Source organism: Homo sapiens, chromosome 8, assembly GCF_000001405.40.
Source record: "Homo sapiens chromosome 8, GRCh38.p14 Primary Assembly".
Classification (NCBI taxonomy): Eukaryota; Metazoa; Chordata; class Mammalia; order Primates; family Hominidae; genus Homo; species Homo sapiens.
In genome coordinates this window covers 10,315,423-10,333,549 of record NC_000008.11, presented here as the reverse complement: position 1 = coordinate 10,333,549, position 18,127 = coordinate 10,315,423, and the positions used below count along the sequence as shown (strand labels likewise).

Sequence of the window (18,127 nt, the reverse complement as noted above, 5' to 3'; positions counted from 1 at the left end):
TCAACAACCCAAGGTCATACACAAAGCAAGTACAGAGCCACTGCTGCCCAAGTCATCGGGGACCTCCCTGTGGTTTTTCTCCGCCCAAAGACTTGCGGAAGAGGCATCTCTGCAAGGAATGCAGCTGTGTGTGTAGGTTCCATTTCCTGCTCTTCACCTCAGCCATCACCTTCAGGAAATTGTGGGCTTCAAACATTCTCTGCAGTTTTCTTAATATATATTATAAACACATAACTGAGATTTAAAAGATTCATCTGGATACACCGTAAAATCATCTTGCATTCCACAAGGGGTCTGGACATCACATATGGGAGCCACTAAACATTCCCCTGTTGCCACTGAAAGATGAGTAGGAGTGTGGCCCGTGGAGAAATGTGAATTCATTCATTCAAACATCACCCTATGTTGGCCAGGATTATTTTGTGTCTATACTTCTACTGTACTTCTACTAAAATCAAAAATGTCTCCTTGATCCTCACAAGAATGCTGTCTTCCACCATCAACCTGGGCAGTAGGTAGAATCTTAGGCTGTTTCTGATGTACTTGGATGGAACTCAGTGCAAGTGAATAAAAGACTGATACCGGCATCTGCACAGGGGCTCCACCCAGGGACTCATATCCTGCCACTGCAGCAAAGGCCTACAGCCAGCAGAGGGCAGTCATACAAACCAGATTTTCCATTTGGCCCAAATGCGGATGCACACAGTTTAATATGTAAAGCCCATTATTACAAGCTTTTCCTTTCCCCACCCCCTATTAATGAACAAATGCCCAAGGGTAATACAGAGATTTCTAAATACAGTGCAAGAAAGGGCAATCTGTACTCATACACAGGGAGTCTAGCACACAGTAATAAGTGGAAATGAAAATAATCACCCACATGCAACTAAACCATTATGCCTAAGATCTAGCTGTCTACGTGGCTGCATACACAGAAATATGGGTGCCTGCCTCCCAGAAATGGGCACTTTTAAAATATTTATTTCACAGGTTCTTATTTAGAGTTCATAATAACACCCGTAATTTTAACCTCAAAGCTACAGAAAGGGACTAAGAAGAATTTTATCCCTATTGCTAGGCATACGGTGGGGAGGGGGGATTTTTCTTTTTGACTAAGGTAAGTCAATGAATTATTCAGGGTTTTTCCATGGGCATTTTAAATCATAACTTCATGCTTTAAACAAAAGCACAGATAAAAAAAATTTTTTAAAGACGAAGAGCTATGTAATCCCCAAACCATAACATATCAACTGACATTTACCCATGTCTATTTAGGGTTTTCCAATGCAAATAAATGATGTTTCAGTGTTGGTGAAAACAACAGTCTTTCGGTACTCAGATGGGTTTTAAACATTGCAGCATAGAGAATACAACAGACCGAGAAGGGATGCTTCTAGCATGCAACTTACCCATTTCCCTGGGAACAAAGAAACAGATAACCATGACATTTTCTCAATTCATGACAGAAAGGAAGATATGCTGATCCTATATTGTAACTATGGTTGGAAATTTGAGGATCTCTAGAAAGGCAGGATGAAGTCACTGTAGACAGCCTTACCTCTGCAGTCACCCATTAAACCCTGATACAGTCGGCCCTCCGTATCCTTGCATTCTGCGTGCTTGGATTCATCCAACCACAGATCAAAATTATTATAAATAAATGAATAAAAACAATACAACAATACAAATTTTAAGAATACAGCATAACTATTTTAATATATTAATAGTATGTGCATTGTATTAGGTATAAGTAATCTAGAGATTATTTAAAGTACACAAGAGGATGTGCATAGGTTATATGTAAATGTCATTTTATATAAGGGATTAAGCATCATCAGATTTTGGTATCTTCAGAGGGTCCTGGAAGCAATCCCCATTGGATACCGAAGGATGACTGTATTCGTAAAATGCCTGAAAGATTAGCATGTATCGCCACACAGCATGGGTGAAAAGCTTATGGAATTCAGTGTCAAATGACTCTAGCTCTCTACATTTACTATGGGGGTCATGTTGGGAATGTGAATGAACACTTCTGAGCTTCAGTTTCCTCATAGGCAAGTCAGAGAACAGATCCTGCCCTAGCCTGTGTGTGACTGTGAAGTTTACCCAGCAAAATACAGGAGAAAGCACCGAAAAGCCGTACAACATTCCACTGTTCTTAATTTCCCCATTTTACAAAAGAAGAATGGGCCATAGAGACCTCTCCAAGGTCACGGTCACTACAGGCAGAGCCAGGGCTCCAGCCAGTTGTTCTCCTCCAAGCCAGTGCTCTGCCCCCGCTCCATGGAGTGCAGCACACAAAACAGGGCTCTCTTGTCAGCTCGGGCTGCCATAACAAAGTAACAGACTACGTGGCTTCAATAACAGGCTTCTATTTCTTACAGTTCTGGGGGCTGAGAAGTCCAAGATCAAGGTTCTGGCAAGGTAGGTTTATTCCAAGTCCTCTTCTCAGGGCTTGCAGGCAGTTCTATTTGTGTTCACATGACTTCTGTGTGCAGCAAGAAACACAGCAATAGAGTGCTCAAGAGCCTGCTCCCTGGTGTCTCTTCGTATAAGGACAGCAGTCCCATCACGGGAGCTCCAGCTCAGGACCTCATCTAACCCTGATCACCTCCCAAAGGCCCCATGTCCAAACACCATCACACTGGGGGTAGAGGCTTCAACATATGAATTTGGGGGGACACAGATATTCGGTCCATAACAAGGGGCAACAAAACGGGCTTCTTTATATGCTGTATCACTTCAGTTCAGGTCAACAGATATTTGTTGACAATCACTAGGTACCAAGCACAGCACCAGGCACTGGGGACACACAGGTGAATGGAAGCCTCCTATAAGCTTACTTAATGTAGAAAATGGGAGACGAGTTCCTAGGAGATTCTCTGCAGAAAAGAGCATTTGTCACATGTGAGCTTCTGTGACTGTATGTGGGACAGTTTATTACCACAAACTTCACAAGACTTTGCCTCAGATAGCTTTGTTTAAAGCAACTGTAATGCAAGTCTGGCAATGAATCTGTACATAATTAATATTTGATAAGGTAATTAATTTACTGAGGAACATGGGACGGGAGAATAAGGAGAAAAAGCCATTTTCAGCCTATAGATGTTGAAAAGAAAACACAAAGGATCTGTATATACCTCTTGCTGGGGAATTATCTGGTTCAGTTATATTATCATGGTTATAGCATGGCTAAATATTCATTGAGTATATTAAATTTCTCTCATTTGGGTTGGTATAATTAAAACTATTTTCTGGATCATAAAACTGAAGGGGCTCAGCTTCAATAATGTATATTGGGTCACTACTGCATGCCAGCTTGTGTGTGTGTGTGTGTGTGTGTATATCACATTTAATTCTTATAATGAACCTATTGGGAAATTTTGTTATCCACACTTAGATCATTTAAAAATTGGTATCAGAGAAATTAAGTCAGGGCTCAAAGAGAGTAAGTGACTAAGAGAGTGCTAGACCACTCTTGCCAAACATCCAAATGCTTTTTGATCACACACACACACACACACACACACACACACACACACATTTTTTTCTCTCCCAAATATCCTTCTAGCTCTTAGGATTTATTTTTTTCTACTGTTATTTTTGGTATGCCACTTTATTTCAGAAGTAGTATAGCAGTAAAATTGGGTCTGTTTTGAAGGTAGAGATGTATGAAAGGGGATAAACTTTTGCAAATTTTCACCTCTCTTCAAAACTAGATAAAGACCCCCGAGAGAGGAAATCAAATCCCATCTCGCTGGGAAACCTGAGTGTGTTCTGGGGTTCAGGGCAAGCCAGATGCGCTCCCACCTAGTGAACAACGCCCACCTCTCCTAAGCAGCCCGAGGAAGAGCCCCCAATTTCAGTCTCCCATTTTGGGGTGGACACATGACACTGGCAGGTTGGAGACCAGATTATGGGGCCTGTGGTCATCTGAAAAATGGTCTCCCCAAAATGTCCATGTTCCAATCCCCTAAAACCTGTGAATGTTATTTTATATGGCACAGATTTCACAGATGTAACTAAATAAGGGGGGTTGAGATGCGGGAGTATTCTTGATTGTTTGGGTGGGCCCTAAATGCAACTGTCAGTGTCCTTATTAGAGAGATGCAGGACGAGATCAGATGCCCAGAAGAGGATGAGGCAGGTGGCCACAGAGGCAGAGACTTGAGTGATGCAGCCACAGGCCATGCATGGTGGCACCCACCAGACGCTGGAAGATCCGGGGAGGGATTCTTCCCTGGAGCCCCTGGGGGAGCAGAGCCCAGCTAGTACCCTGATTTGGGTCCAGGGAAATTGACTTTGGGCTTCTGCCCTCTGGAACCATGAGAGAATAAATCCCTGTTGCTTTTAAGCCATCCAGTTTGTGGTAATTTGTTATAGTAGCTATAGGATATTAACACAGGGACAAAAAAGTCAGAGATTTGGCAAAGTAGTGAGAGGAAGGCAGTTTCATCTATCACCCACTGACTTAATCCTACCAAATAATGTTGTACGATCATAATAGCAACTTCGGTGTCAAGAGAGTTTGCAGGATAGGGTTTAGGGTCAAGAACAAGATGGTTAATCCTTCCTTTTAATATACAGCATAGCCTCAACCAGGCAGCATGTCCACAGCCTCTGAATTTGGTCTCTCTGTGGCAACAGTGAGTCCATGAAGGGATCAACTTTGAAATACAAAGAAGTATAAAACCATCCTTTATGAGGTTCACTGCACAACAGTAAGATTTCCTGAGTCCCTGTGGTTCTCATAGTGAGTCCCCAGTTCTCTGGAAAGTTCTTGAGCCTTATTCAAAGGTTCTGAACTTTAAGAATTATAGGCTACATCTTAGATATACTGTGATAATTAGGCTCTCTGATTAGAAGTTACAGATGTCTCATGGGAAGATGGTGACATGACTTTGAAGGACCTGGTAGACCATGCGAAGGAGTTCAGATTTCATTCCACATACAGTAGAGATGCCGTGGAAGATGCTGACACAGGGAAGGGAAATGACCCGAGGTACACTGAGGAATATCACTCTGCTGCCTGTGCGGGTGGTCATAATCATGGAGAGGTAAGAAGTTCAGTTGTCCAGGAACAGATAATGGTGGCTTAAATCATGAGAGTGAACGTGAGAGAAAATGAAAGAAGCGAGCACAGTGGGGATGTCTTTTGGAGGTAGAATCTGTTAATCTGATTCATTGGAGGGAAAAGGCGAGGGAAAGGCATGAGGCAGGGATGACTTCTGAGGATCTTGCTTAGTTAGGCAAGTTAAATGATGACCCGATGGGGAAGGGTGTCAATGAGTGGGGAGGGGGGAGGGAGGAGGGAGGAGGAAGCCATGGGACTTGTTTACAGGGGGTGGCAATAATCAAACTTTCATTTTAGAAAGCATTACGTTGACACACAAGTGGCGATAACAAGTAGACAGTTTGTTATGGGGATCTGGAGTCCAGAGGGTAGTTCTAGACCCTAAATTTGAGTGTCATTTACACTCAGAGTGTCACTGATACTAAAAAAAAAAAAAAAAAAAAAAAAATTACCATAGAGATGGTATTCAAACTATGCTAAAGAAAAGCAGCAATGACTGCATTGGTAGCGCAGGTGAGTAGGTTTTTTTGTTGTTGTTGTTGTTGTTCTAGTTGTTGAGACGGAGCCCAGGCTGGAGTGCAGTGGCGCAATCTCAGCTCACTGCAAGCTCCGCCTCCCAGGTTCACGCCATTCTCCTGCCTCAGCCTCATGAGTAGCTGGGACTACAGGCGCCCACCACCACGCCTGACTAACTTTTTGTATTTTTAGTAGAGACGGGGTTTCACCTTGTTAGCCAGGATAGTCTCGATCTCCTGACCTTATGATCCACCTGCCTTGGCTTCCCAAAGTGCTGGGATTACAGGCGTGAGCCACCGTGCCCAGCCAAGTAGGTTATTTGGTAGTGACACTGTCTTCTTCCTCCCCGCCTCCCCGCAACAAAACACACACACCAGTCAAACCACAATTTGTCAGGGCTTAACTGAAGAGCTTAGGGAGTCACTAAATATCTGGCTGCAATCTAAGCAGGAAGAAAATTAAATAATCAAAACTGAACCTTTATTTTTGAAAATGCTAGCTGGAACCCATTTGTACATGCATACTGTTTTTTTACCTTTCACTTTGGGAACTTTTCTTTAAAATGACCCTGTATTAATTATAAACAAACGCAGAGATGAGAGATAATAAATTGCTAGATAGTTGAAGTTTAAGATAAAATTATGGCAAATATTTAAAGATTGTAGCTATATACTGATGATAGGGACAGGTGGGTGGATGGATGGAAGGGTGGACAAACACTGAGAGACGGATAGATACAGCCTTTAAAACACTGTTTTATATTTGAAACACAGTGGGTAATTTAACAATGACTCCAGAAACATTTTATCCTTATTAGAACTTAATATATTGTAAAATATATACAAAGGAAAACGCTGCTTTTCTTCTCTCTTTTTCGCGAGAGAAATACCCAGAGAAAGCATTGTGCTTTCTTGAAGACTTGAAGAGCTGGCAGAAGGAGCCAGGTCATATGGCCAGGAGAATGCTCTTTAGATTTGCTGTCTTTCACATTTCAAGAAACATAATTTCTCAGTGGGAAAAGATTTAATTCCTAAATGAGCTGGAGTCACATTCTCAGGATGGAAGAATTACACGTGAACCACCCTCACTCTACCGGAGGCCACATTCAGTTTAGGATACTGGGAAATGTTTCTCATGATGGGCTCACTTGGGAGATAAATTGTCCATATTTGACAATCCAAAAACAATAATACATTAGATGATGTCTTGCAATTAGTGCTATAAGCAAATAACTCCACCAAAGATTTGAGGAAAATTTTTTTTTTAATGAGGCTAAGAAAAGATTATCAAGTCTTCTCCTTGAAGGCAAAAACACCCCCCTCCATTTTATGCAAAGTTGTATTAGGGTTAGGGTTGCTCACCAAAGATATGAAGCAGCTGTCAAATTCTGTAAGCAGAATCCAGCATGTTCAAGGTCAGCAAACCCAGCGTGAAGTTCAAGTTTCACTCCTTAAGACTCCATCCTCCTCCTTAAGTCTTTCCTGCCTCTTTTAATCTGATTAGAAATGAGCAAACTTCTTCAGCCAAAACTCTGACAGTCGCTGGTGAGGCTGGTATCCACAACCCAGCCAACTTTGCAGAAAACCACAGTTTCAATGGAAAATCACTTTTGGTTTCTGGCTCCTCAGCAGTACTGCACATCTAATTAGCTCAACAATTGGTCCCTGTGATAAAATCAGCTAATTTTATGTTCAAATGGCTGCTCTGTGGTAAGCAATACTGTCACTCCAAACTTCACATATAAAGAAGCTGCTGAAGAAGCTGGGTACTAGGGGGTCACTGGGAGCAGGCTAGTGAAGAAGACTATTAAATTAGTAACCTAAGTCAACATTACAGTTAGTGTATAGGGGTCCCAGCAGCGCTCAAAGAAGACAAATGTCCCGAATGTAGTGATGGGGCCAGAAACACCAAGCCTTCTGAAGAGGAAAGCAGTGTATGTAAAATGAACAGAATGAGTCATGGGCAGAATTTCCCCACTTTTAGAAATCAAACTAAATGTTTCTGACTACAGTACAGAGTTCTAGACCATAATCCAGGAGTGTTAAGAAATGACCCTCCCTACCTTAAACACCTCTGTGGTTTCAGGAGCTTGTTCAAGCTTACCCTAGATATAAAACACAGGAAAGCCCAGTCCGGGGGTCACCTCTTCAGCTCCCTGCTCTCCTTCCCTCAGTGAATAAAGCAGTTGGTTAGATCGGCAATTTTCCCCATTTTGTGAATGTATTAGAAACCACATAACTTTTTAAGGTAAAGGCTAAAGCACTGATCAACCTCTTTACGGTATCAAAGCTGATAACATCACCTCTCACAGGCATTGCAAATTGCTGATTTTGCAATGTTTGTATTATCAGTTATATCAACTGAATAAACAGTCAGAAATTCATTCAAGTTTCAAAACTTAAAAGGGCCTCATAAATACATGAATGCATTTAACTTTATATAAAGACATAGAGAGATACACATCTACAGCTAAACAAATATATGTACACAGATAAACACCTAAGATCTATACATGACTTAAAACTGCTTGATTAGCATTTAGTAAGTACTCTGTTGGTACTGTTGTTGCTGTTCTAACAGTATTACTATTATTATTATATAGCTATATATTATATAGATATACGTATTATACATAATTATGGTATATAACCTATATAAAAGTACATATTATATCACCATATGACTGCAGCAGGATGCACTCTGCTAAAATTGAACTGTGTTTTTCTTTCTCACCTCTATCAGAGGTGCCAGAAAGTCACTCCATCGTGGCAAATCATTCCTGAGCCATTGCAGTCAGCTGCCTTCCCTGGATCGGAGTGAGAAGGACCCTTTGGAGACAGTGGACCCAGAGGACACTAATGCATCACTTTAGATCCCTGTGGCCCCATCTGCCTCTTGCTAGGCCAGCCACAGTACCCAGTTCTGCAAGGGCCCCCATTCACTTTGTGCAGCTTTTATGCACCTGCATTGCCCAATCTTACACTCAACGCCATGTGCCTCTTGTCTCTTGCCTCCTGCCCTGGCACACAGTACCCTGAGCTCACACATGTGCAGCTCAGAAGTGCAGAATCAACCTATGACTGATGGCATTCAATGGAAACATGCTTCCTCATCTTCTCCCGAATGCCTAGTCATTTCATAAATCTCAAACAACCAGTTACCAGTGGCAGGGGCTAACTTGTATGGGGTCTTCCTTCTTTTCCTCCCCAGTCTCTCTGCCCCTTATTCCTGCTCCCTGGAACCACACATCTCAGTGAATCCTCACACACAAGCCTCTGGCTTGGGCTCTGCTTTCTGTGGGACCCAGGCTAAGCTAAGCTAAGATAAAAATCACAGTGGTCACCTAGGCATGGATGTCCACTTAGCTCTATTGCTCACCAGGATGGGGTACACAAAGAGACACTTTGGTTCCTGAAAAGGAAAAAACTTGACCCTCATGCTGTGGTCTCCAGGCAGGAAAAGGTGAGAGCAGCTCCCGGTGCAGCACTCTGATGGGCAGGAACCCATGTTCCGTGGCCGTCCCATGTTCCATGGCCGTCCCGCTCTTGGGATAAGCCATAGTGAGAGCAGAGGGCCAGGGATCCAGACTGACATGCTCCACCCCTCTACAATGCACATGGGCATGCAAACACACGCACAAGCTCACCCCTTAATGAACTGCTATGCTCTCTAAATGGTAGCCACCAGCCACATGTGGCCACTTAAATATAAATGTAAATTAATTAAAAGATTCAGTTCCTCAGTCACACTAGCCACTGAGGAACTGAGCCAGTGAGCCACTATTTCAAGTGCTCAACAGCCACATGTGGCCAGAGGCCCTCCACTGGACAGTGCAAAAGAGACCACAGCATCATGGCGGAAAGGCGAGTGGTGCTGAAAGGAAGCACTGGTCTAGTCTGAAACTCTGGGTTTCAGTCAATTAGCTGGTACGAAAACACTGAACTTTCAACTCATCTCCCAGTGGAATCTAGGGTCAGTTTTATTTATGCAAAACCATAAAAGAGATATGACAGCATTTGTCCCCTGAGTTGGTGATTAAGCAGTTTATATGCAGTAATGTGAGCAGCAATGGCTATCGGGATACTAAAGGCACAGGAGTCCCAATCTTTATTTAAAAAATAGACCCTACTTTTAAAAGCCAAACAGACACATAGACATGCAGACATGCAGACAGACAGACACAGACACACACACACACACACACACACACACACGTATTTAATTCCCATGTGCTTGGGTTCAGAACACCCAGAAAACATCTGGTCAGCACAACTGCCTACAAGATTAACCTCTACAAAAACTACAAAAATAATGAAAGGATAATTATAGCAGCTCATTAATTAATTATATAATACCTAAATTTTACCTCCTATGGATATCATTTATCTAAAATCAACGTGGGTTCCCCTCAAAACTGAGGGTAGAAACTACAATGGGATAGAAACTGGAAAATTCGGTGATAAGCCTCTTCACCATCACACGGAAGGCACTGGCCTTGAACTGAAAATCTTCATTGCAAACACCAGGATATCATCATATTTCAGTATTCTGGAGGGCAGTTAATATGCTTCCAGAGTCGCTTGGTATTACTCTTGGTACCCTAGAGAACTACGAATCATTACATAAGGGAGTTTATAGATGGCATTATCATATGTGACTTTTAGTAGTAGTTATAAATACTGCCTTTATAATTAAATACAGTGGGATGAAACAATTGAACCACTTTTTAAGTTCTTGGTTGGGGTTGGTTCCTGTGGTGCCCAGTGTAGTGTCCTGCCTGGTTGGACAGTTCCCCTCCCACCGCTCAAGTGGAGGAATCAGTTCCTCGGGTACTAAGCCCTCTCTTCTGCATTTTTTTTTTTTTTTTTTTGAGATGGAGTCTCACTCTGTTGCCCAGGCTGGAGTTTAGTAATGCAATCTCAGCTCAGTGCAACCTTTGCTTCCTGGGTTCAAGCATTTCTCCTGCCTCAGCCTCCTCAGTAGCTCGGATTACAGGTGCGTGTAACCACGCCTGGCTAATTTTTGTATTTTTAGTAGAGACCGAGTTTCACCATGTTAGTCAGGCTGGTCTCGAAGTCCTGACCTCATGATCCGCCCACTTCAGCCTCCCAAAGTGCTGGGATTAGAGGCGTGAGTCACTGTGCCCTGCCTCTTCTGCTTTTATCTCATTACTTTTCCCAAGTAATCTTATCAGCAACTGGGGTTTCATTTAGCAAATATAAGTTGACAACTCCCAATAATAATAAGGGTTCCTGTTTATGAGGTATTTACCATGTGCTAGGCCCTGTGTTTCACAAGCATTAGCCCAGTTAGCAGTCCTAACAATCCTCCCTGCAAGGCAGAAACAGCCCATGGCTCCTCCAAACAGCCCCTTGGATGCCCATGTCATGGGCACCTTAGACTCTGCACTTTCACAACTTAACTTACCTTCCCCACAAATCTGCCTCTGCTTCTCTGTACACTTGTACAAAAAATCACCAGCCATGACCTGGACCTGGACCTGTCCCTCTTATTGACTCTCCACTTCCAGTGAAGTTCCAAGTTCTGGTCTTTGTACTTCCTAAATATCCCTCCCTCCCACCCATACTTCCACCATCCTAGACAAAGCTTCCATTACTTCTGGCCCGGAATCCTATAATAGCTGCCCAACTCATCTCCCTGCATCCAGTCTTACTTCTCTTTAATTTCATTTATTCTAAGGTCATTGCTCTCTCTTTGAGCATCTGGAAAATGGGGATAATGGGGTCTCCCTCATCCTCATAGGTCTGCTTGAGTCAAATAGAACATATGGCTTTCTAAGTGTCAGGTACTTGATAATAAACTGCACAGATGACATGTGAATTGAGAAAATTTCATGCTAGAGACTGCATGTGTAACCACCACCATAAATGCCCAGGTTAGCCCACCACTGTTACAAAAGCCATTACGAAAAAGGGATAAGAGAAAGAATATATAGGTAAAAGGTTTTTAGAATGGAAATACAAGTATACTTAAATTACTCTAAAACTTAGCAGCTTCAAAGTATATACATTTATTATCTCACAGCTTCTGTGGCACAGCTTGGCTGTGTGCCTCTGGCTTGAAGTCCTTCATGACGCTGTAATCAAACTGTCAGGCAGGGCTGCAGTCTCATCTGAAGGCTTGACTGGGGTTGAGGGGATTCGAAGCTCACTCACATAGTTCTTGGCAGGCTTTTGTCCTTGTCATGTAAGCCTCTGCACAGGGCTGCTTCATGACGTGGCAACTGGCTTCCCCTACCATCTCTCACGCGGTAACAGAGAGTTTTCACAATACGAGCCACAATCTTTTAATGACCTAGTCTCAGAGTGCTCCCATCACTGCTGTCATTCATTAGAAGTGAGTTGCTAAATGCAGCCCATATTCAAGGAGATGAATTACATATGGGCAGAGAGCACTGGGGGCCATCCCACAGGCTGCCTACCATGACCAGCCAAGCAGACATCACCCTGGGAGGGAGGTGGGAGGGGCCAAGGAAGGAATGGGCTCTGTCAGCGCCTCCCTCAGGCCTCTCCGCTCATCATAGTCGAACTGACCTTGAGTCACCCGTCCTTCTACTTGCTCACCAGTGGACACTCTAGTTACAGCCTCCTCGTCTCTGCACTCATTCCTGGGGGCTGTTGCATACCTGACTTTTTACAAAATTCTAACATAGATTAGCTTTATAGTAGCTTCTAGCTCTACTGTCAAATGCAAATCCACATCAGAAAATATAATGATAAATAAAATACAAGTACTATCACAAAGTTCTAAAAACTAAAGCAAGTCAACTTGTTTTTAAAACAACTAAATCTCTATTGGAGGATTTTAAAAAAGGGTACACAACTCTGAAAATAATTATTTTGTGATATCATGTATATATTTCCGAGAACTACTTTTATCATAATTCAATTTACTGTTATGAGAAAGTGTTATGGGTTGAATCGTGTCTCCCTCCAAAAGATATGTTGGAGTCCTAAAACCTCGGAATGTGACCTTCCTTGGAGAACGGGTCTTTACAGAGGTAATTAAGTTAAACGAGGTCATGAGGGTTAGCACTAAGCCAATATGACTAGAGACTGTTTAAAAACAAGAAGCTTGGACAAAGAAACACACGCACATAAAACTAGGCTGATGTGAATATAAACATGGAGAAGACAGCCATCTAGAAGCCAAGGAGAGAGGCCTGGAACAGATCCTTCCCTTCCCTCACAGCACTCAGAAGGAACCAGCCCTGCCGACACCTTGATCTTGGACTTCCAGCCTCCAGAATTGTGAGAAAATAAATATCTGCTGTTTAAACTAACCAGGCTGTGACTGTTTGTTACAATAGCCCTGTAAAACTAATACAGAGGGAAGAAAAAAAGAGAGAGTTTCAGACAGAGACAGAAATAAAGAGAGAAGGAAAAAGACTTATTTTAACAGGCTGTGTCTTCATCTAGATGAGTGATTCAAAGGCAAACACATAAGGGCCTACTCTTTATTTTTTTACATTGAGACAGGGTCTTGCTCTGTCACCCAGGCTGAAGTGCAGTGGTGCAATCACAGGTCACTGCAGCCTTGACCTCCCAGGTTCAAACGATACTCCCACCTCACCCTCCCAGGTAGCTGGGACTGTAGGTGCAGGCCACCATGCCTGGCTTATTTTTGTATTTTTTGTAGAGATGGGGTTTCTTCATGTTGCCCAGGCTGGTCTCGAACTCCTGGCCTCAAGTATCCTTCTGCTTCGGCCCCCCAAAGTACTGGGATTACAGGCATGAGCCACTGGCCCTGGCCCAGGCCTACTCTTAAAACCTCATTTAGCACACGTATTAGACACAATGGCTCCACTCCTAGAGGCTGACAGAAATTTCTAAGAGATGTGCAAATAAAACACAATTCCAGTTGAAAAGCAGCAGACTGCCCTCTAAAATCAGAACCTGGCCCTAGTCATGGTGGCCTAAGCCAGGGGCTAGGAGCCCAGCAATCCCTACCTTTTGGTAGTTCTCTTTGGAGCTCAGGGCTGCCTCCATTTGCTTGGCAGAGGTCGGGTAGATGGCCGAGCGGTACTGAGTGCCATGGTCGTTCCCCTGGCGCATACCTAGGAAAGCAGAAAACAGGGAGGGTTACCCGGTCACTAGGCGACAGTGCCAGTCTCAAACTGGGCACAATGCTGAGACATTTTGACACTTTTCATATGGTCCCTGTGCCTGATGTGTTGCTAAGTGCTTGTTTTAATTTTCTGTTTACAGCATTTTCTTTAAACAAGCATGAAATGTATCTGTTTTGATTTGCCTGTTTTAATTACAACAAGTATCTTTGAACTCAGGTAGATTTATCACAGGTCTTGGATCATACTAGATGTTCTATGAATACATACTTTTACATGAAATACTTAAACAACGATCTACTCCAATTGTCACATGTAATGCACTATGATACATATTATTTCCTTGGGTCCTAAGGAGATACCTGTATGGAAGGTTTCATCATCCCTCCCTTGGTGGATGAGGAAATGAGACAATGTCTGTGTAAATTCCTGGCACGGTGCTTGGCACATAGCAGGAGTCCTGCACCTATGACTAAAGTCACCTACCCATCTAGCCTGCAACTTAAAGTCAGCAAAGAGCATTTTCTGCCAGTCTCAGCAGCTGAAGGGTGGATGATAGTCAGTTTCTATCTGAGTGTGACAGTGCCCCAGAGTGAAACAGCCGCAGGGTTGCCACAGATCCCCTGTAGGCCACCATGTTGTGGTGAAAATGAACCAGGCACTGGGATTCAGGAATTGGACCCAGTAGCATGTTTCAGCTAGTCACATTCCTAATATAATCAGGGGAAACAGAGACCAGCAGGCATAAGCAAGAATTAGAGGTGTTAAGGGAAAATCTGTGCAGGTTAAAAAAAATGCAAGGTTTCAGAAAGGGAGTGGGTAAGTTCACGTGATCAGTGGGGAAGGGGCCTATGTCTCAAAGGCTGGATCAAGGAAGTGACTTGTCTTGGCAGCAGGTGGGCGCCAAGGGTGAAGGTAGAACAAAGGTAAGGACTGCGGAGCAGTGCGGTGCCTTCAGGGACTTGGAAGGAACTGCTACTGCTTGCAAAAGCAGCTGTAACCCAGGAAGCATCTGTGTCAAAGCCCTGATGCCCGCTTCTCAAGAGGATGAGCATGGTACCCTCAAGCGTGAAGCCCAGATGACAAAGATGCTTCACTGGGAAAGATGACTGGAAACTCAACAGACTGAAAACCTAGAAGAAAGAACCAACATCCAGGAACGGCTAGGAATACAAGAAGTGGCCCTGCTTGTCTACCCATTGAATCACAAAACAAACGAAATATTTGACTGTCATAAATTGATCTAAACAGGCTTTATAATGCTGTTCTCCAGAGGGCAAAATTAACCAAAATTATATTTTGAGATAGGACAGAAAAATGTTATTGATGATAGAATAACTCCTATATGTCTTTCCTCTTTCTGCAAATAAATATGTTCTCTCCAGCAGAAAGAATTCGTGTGTGTCAACTGTAGCCTCCACACTCTAGAGGCTACAGAAGAATTAGGTCATAATCCCTTGTCTCAAGGAATAACCAGGACGAGGGAGGGAGGGGTAAGAGTAGTCACGAGCCTGACACTGTACTTCCCTGTGCGAGGTCTTTGCCATCATTTCTTGTTTCATCCTCACATGAGCCCTGTGGAGAAGATATTCTTAACCCTCTTTGACAAAAAGGAAATTATGGATCAGAGACATTCAGTGACCCACCTGAGGTCACATAGCAGGTAAATGGCCATCCTGCGATTTAAACTTTGATGGCCCCGACACCAAAGCCCTTTCTCCTTCCAAAATGGATGCATGAGAAGTTACAGCAAAATAATCGAGGACAATGGAACAAAGTGCTTCTGGATGTAGGGTACCTGCTGGGGAGGGGGCATCCCAGCCCAAGGCCCAGAAATAAGAACAAGCTTGGAACGTTCTGAGGACTGTGAAGAGGCAGGACAAGGTCTGACAAGGGGCCTGGTGGGTCCTGAAGCTGGTGGGTTGGGCGTGTAACCACATAGGTATCTTGACAAGTCACGGTGGGGACCAGAGATGCGTGGAAAGATCAGACTCCCATGAGCTACAGTATTTTCTGGAACCCTGAGTGAGCATAATCACCAAGCAATGACCCAGAGCCCCCTTTCCCACAGATGCAACAAGTGTTGCAAAGTTCACTGTGCCCTCCACTTGGCTTTTGAAAAACTATGAGGAAAAATTATTGACACTATTTGGCTGTCTTGATGTACCAGGAAAGCAAGCAGTGGACTTTCAGTGTTGAGTGGAAAGAGAATTACTGGCTCAGAAACAACACCTTGTGCTTAAAATGCTTCCATAGTACTCTATAAACTGATTAATGAGGACTGGGCTTTGGGGCATTCTTGATGAGAACTGACCTCCTGACATCTACCAACTGCTTGAGATTTCTCCATCCACTTTCTCCAAAGAAGATTTTAAAGGGACAAACAACCCTAAGACTGCTCTGAGGTTTCTCTCCCTCTCGGCAGAGCCAGAGGAAGCAGAGGAAAACAGAAACGCTTCATCTATAATGAAGCATAAGATGATGACTTCTCCTCTGCTCAGAGGGCCTCCTAAGCCTCAGCTCATCTTTGGGTACCAACTCTGTTTTATCCATCCTGATTGCAGACGTGATAAATGTGTCTGAAAATGAGAACTTTAAAGGGAAGTTTATGCTAAGAGTTGTTGCTAGGTGATCACTTTACGAGGTCCCAGGAGTTACCGGCTGACAGTGAACATCAGGACAAGTCAGGAACAACGCCTCAGGGTCTGAAATCGCTATCTCTATCTTAGGGAGCTTTGCGGGAGCAATCTCATTAGCAGGACTGTCCATGTTGGTTGAAAACAGAGTGACTCCTACTAGCATGACCTCCACATTCTTCTCTTCTATAGACTGCTGCTAAGAGAAAACGGATCCTGCCTTACAGTCTGCTGCACCAAAGGCTACCTGCATGCTGCAGTGGCACAGGAAGACCACCAGGGATGCTGGCATTGCTGGGAGAGCTCACCCAGGTGCTGCTTCGGGGTGGCCTCCTACCTTCTGCTGGAAAGTAGGGTCTCTGTGAAAAAACATGCCATGGTGTCCCGAAGTCCTCCCCTAGGTGGATGAGCCTCTATCCTTCACAGTGAAAGATGGCACTTCTTATTATCCAGGTGACACCTCCTGGTGCACCTTGCCTTTACCTTAGGTGTTTGAGACAAGCCCTATGAATATAACCATCTCACTTTATCTGAGAACTTAATCCTGTCCATTTTAACTGACAGCTCATTTTTAATTTAAAACACTGAATAAATGAATGGACAGCCCTCCTTTCATCAAAAGGGAGGAAGGGAGAGAGGGAGGGGGAGAAGAGGAGGAGGAAGGAGAGAGAGAGAGAGAGAGAGAGAGAGAGAGAGAGAGAGAGAGAGAGGGATCATCAAAGTAGCTAACAATCCTATAGTTCTCACTATGTCCAGGCACTGTGCTTTACTACGTTATTCACCCAATTCTGCAAATACTTGGAGGATATTAGTAAACCCATATCCCTGCCCTCTCCCACTGCCAAGGTGAAACTGACACTCCCTCAAAGGTGAAACTGACACTCAGAGAGAGGCTGGTTGCCTGTTGAAGGCCAGTGCTGCATCTGGAACCATCTAACTCCAAAGTCCATGATCTTAACCACTATTATTCCGATTTGTAAATATATATAATTTAAGTAAAAAAAAAAAAGGTGGAATATAGGGATGTATGAAAGATATTATGTGGCTCTCTTCTAAAAGGAAGACAGCCACACAATACGGTCACTATCTATCACCTGCACAATGTTCTTTGCATTTTTTCACGCAGTGCATCTCAAGGGAGATGAAATAGTGTTGCTTTTTAACAGAGGTGCCACATATTTATTCCATATCTAAAAGCAAAAAGAAAAATGAAAGATCCTGATTTTCAGTAAGGAGTACACATTACTTCTATAGTCATAAATTATTTTGACAAGATGTGGTGATTTCTTCATGAAAGGTCAAAAGTTATCATAGTGTGAATTTTGTTTGTGTAAAAGGGAAATTCTATTTATGGTGGCCAAAGAAAATCTTTTTACTTATTATGCGTCCTAGAATGTCTTTTGGGACTCCATGTCTGTTTATGTTCTAAAATCCCAAGTTTGGCCAAATAATGAAAATATTAGAAAACGTTCAAAATAGTAAAATTTTTAGGTCATCATTGCAAGTCCAAATCTTAAAGTTTTACAGCCAAAGTGCCCCACTATATGAGATTTACAACATGCTTACATTGAAATCAGTACCAAGCACACATGTGCACACACATTTACAAAGCTAGTCCATCATGGATAGTGTTCATATTAGCAGAAGTAGCAATCGACATATTATACCTTTGTAGTTTCCAGATTTAATTACAGAAAAGTACATAAGACATAAATGTACAAAGGTACATAAAATAGATACGCACAGTTAAGTGTCTACTATTACTCTATTTATAATTAGTGATTATAAAGTGAATACTCACATCACCACCACTAA

General features: G+C 43.1%; 1 protein-coding gene across 8 annotated transcripts in view, besides 2 other annotated features; it reads right to left on the bottom strand.

Moving 5' to 3' along the window:
• MSRA (methionine sulfoxide reductase A) overlaps window positions 1-18,127 on the bottom strand; it is a 374,600-nt gene that overhangs the window by 95,342 nt on the left and 261,131 nt on the right. For all 8 annotated transcript variants that reach the window (NM_012331.5, NM_001135670.3, XM_011543822.3 and 5 more), the window contains one exon: window positions 13,561-13,667. In NM_012331.5, the coding sequence (NP_036463.1) occupies window positions 13,561-13,667 (107 nt within the window). The remainder of the gene's footprint in view (window positions 1-13,560; window positions 13,668-18,127) is intronic.
• Window positions 367-576: an enhancer, noted in NCBI's record as "active region_26991". NCBI's record gives its function as "activates an Ori minimal core promoter by ATAC-STARR-seq in GM12878 lymphoblastoid cells {active_cell/tissue: GM12878}" and the evidence as "EXISTENCE:reporter gene assay evidence [ECO:0000049][PMID:35858748]".
• Window positions 7,110-7,209: an enhancer, noted in NCBI's record as "active region_26990". NCBI's record gives its function as "activates an Ori minimal core promoter by ATAC-STARR-seq in GM12878 lymphoblastoid cells {active_cell/tissue: GM12878}" and the evidence as "EXISTENCE:reporter gene assay evidence [ECO:0000049][PMID:35858748]".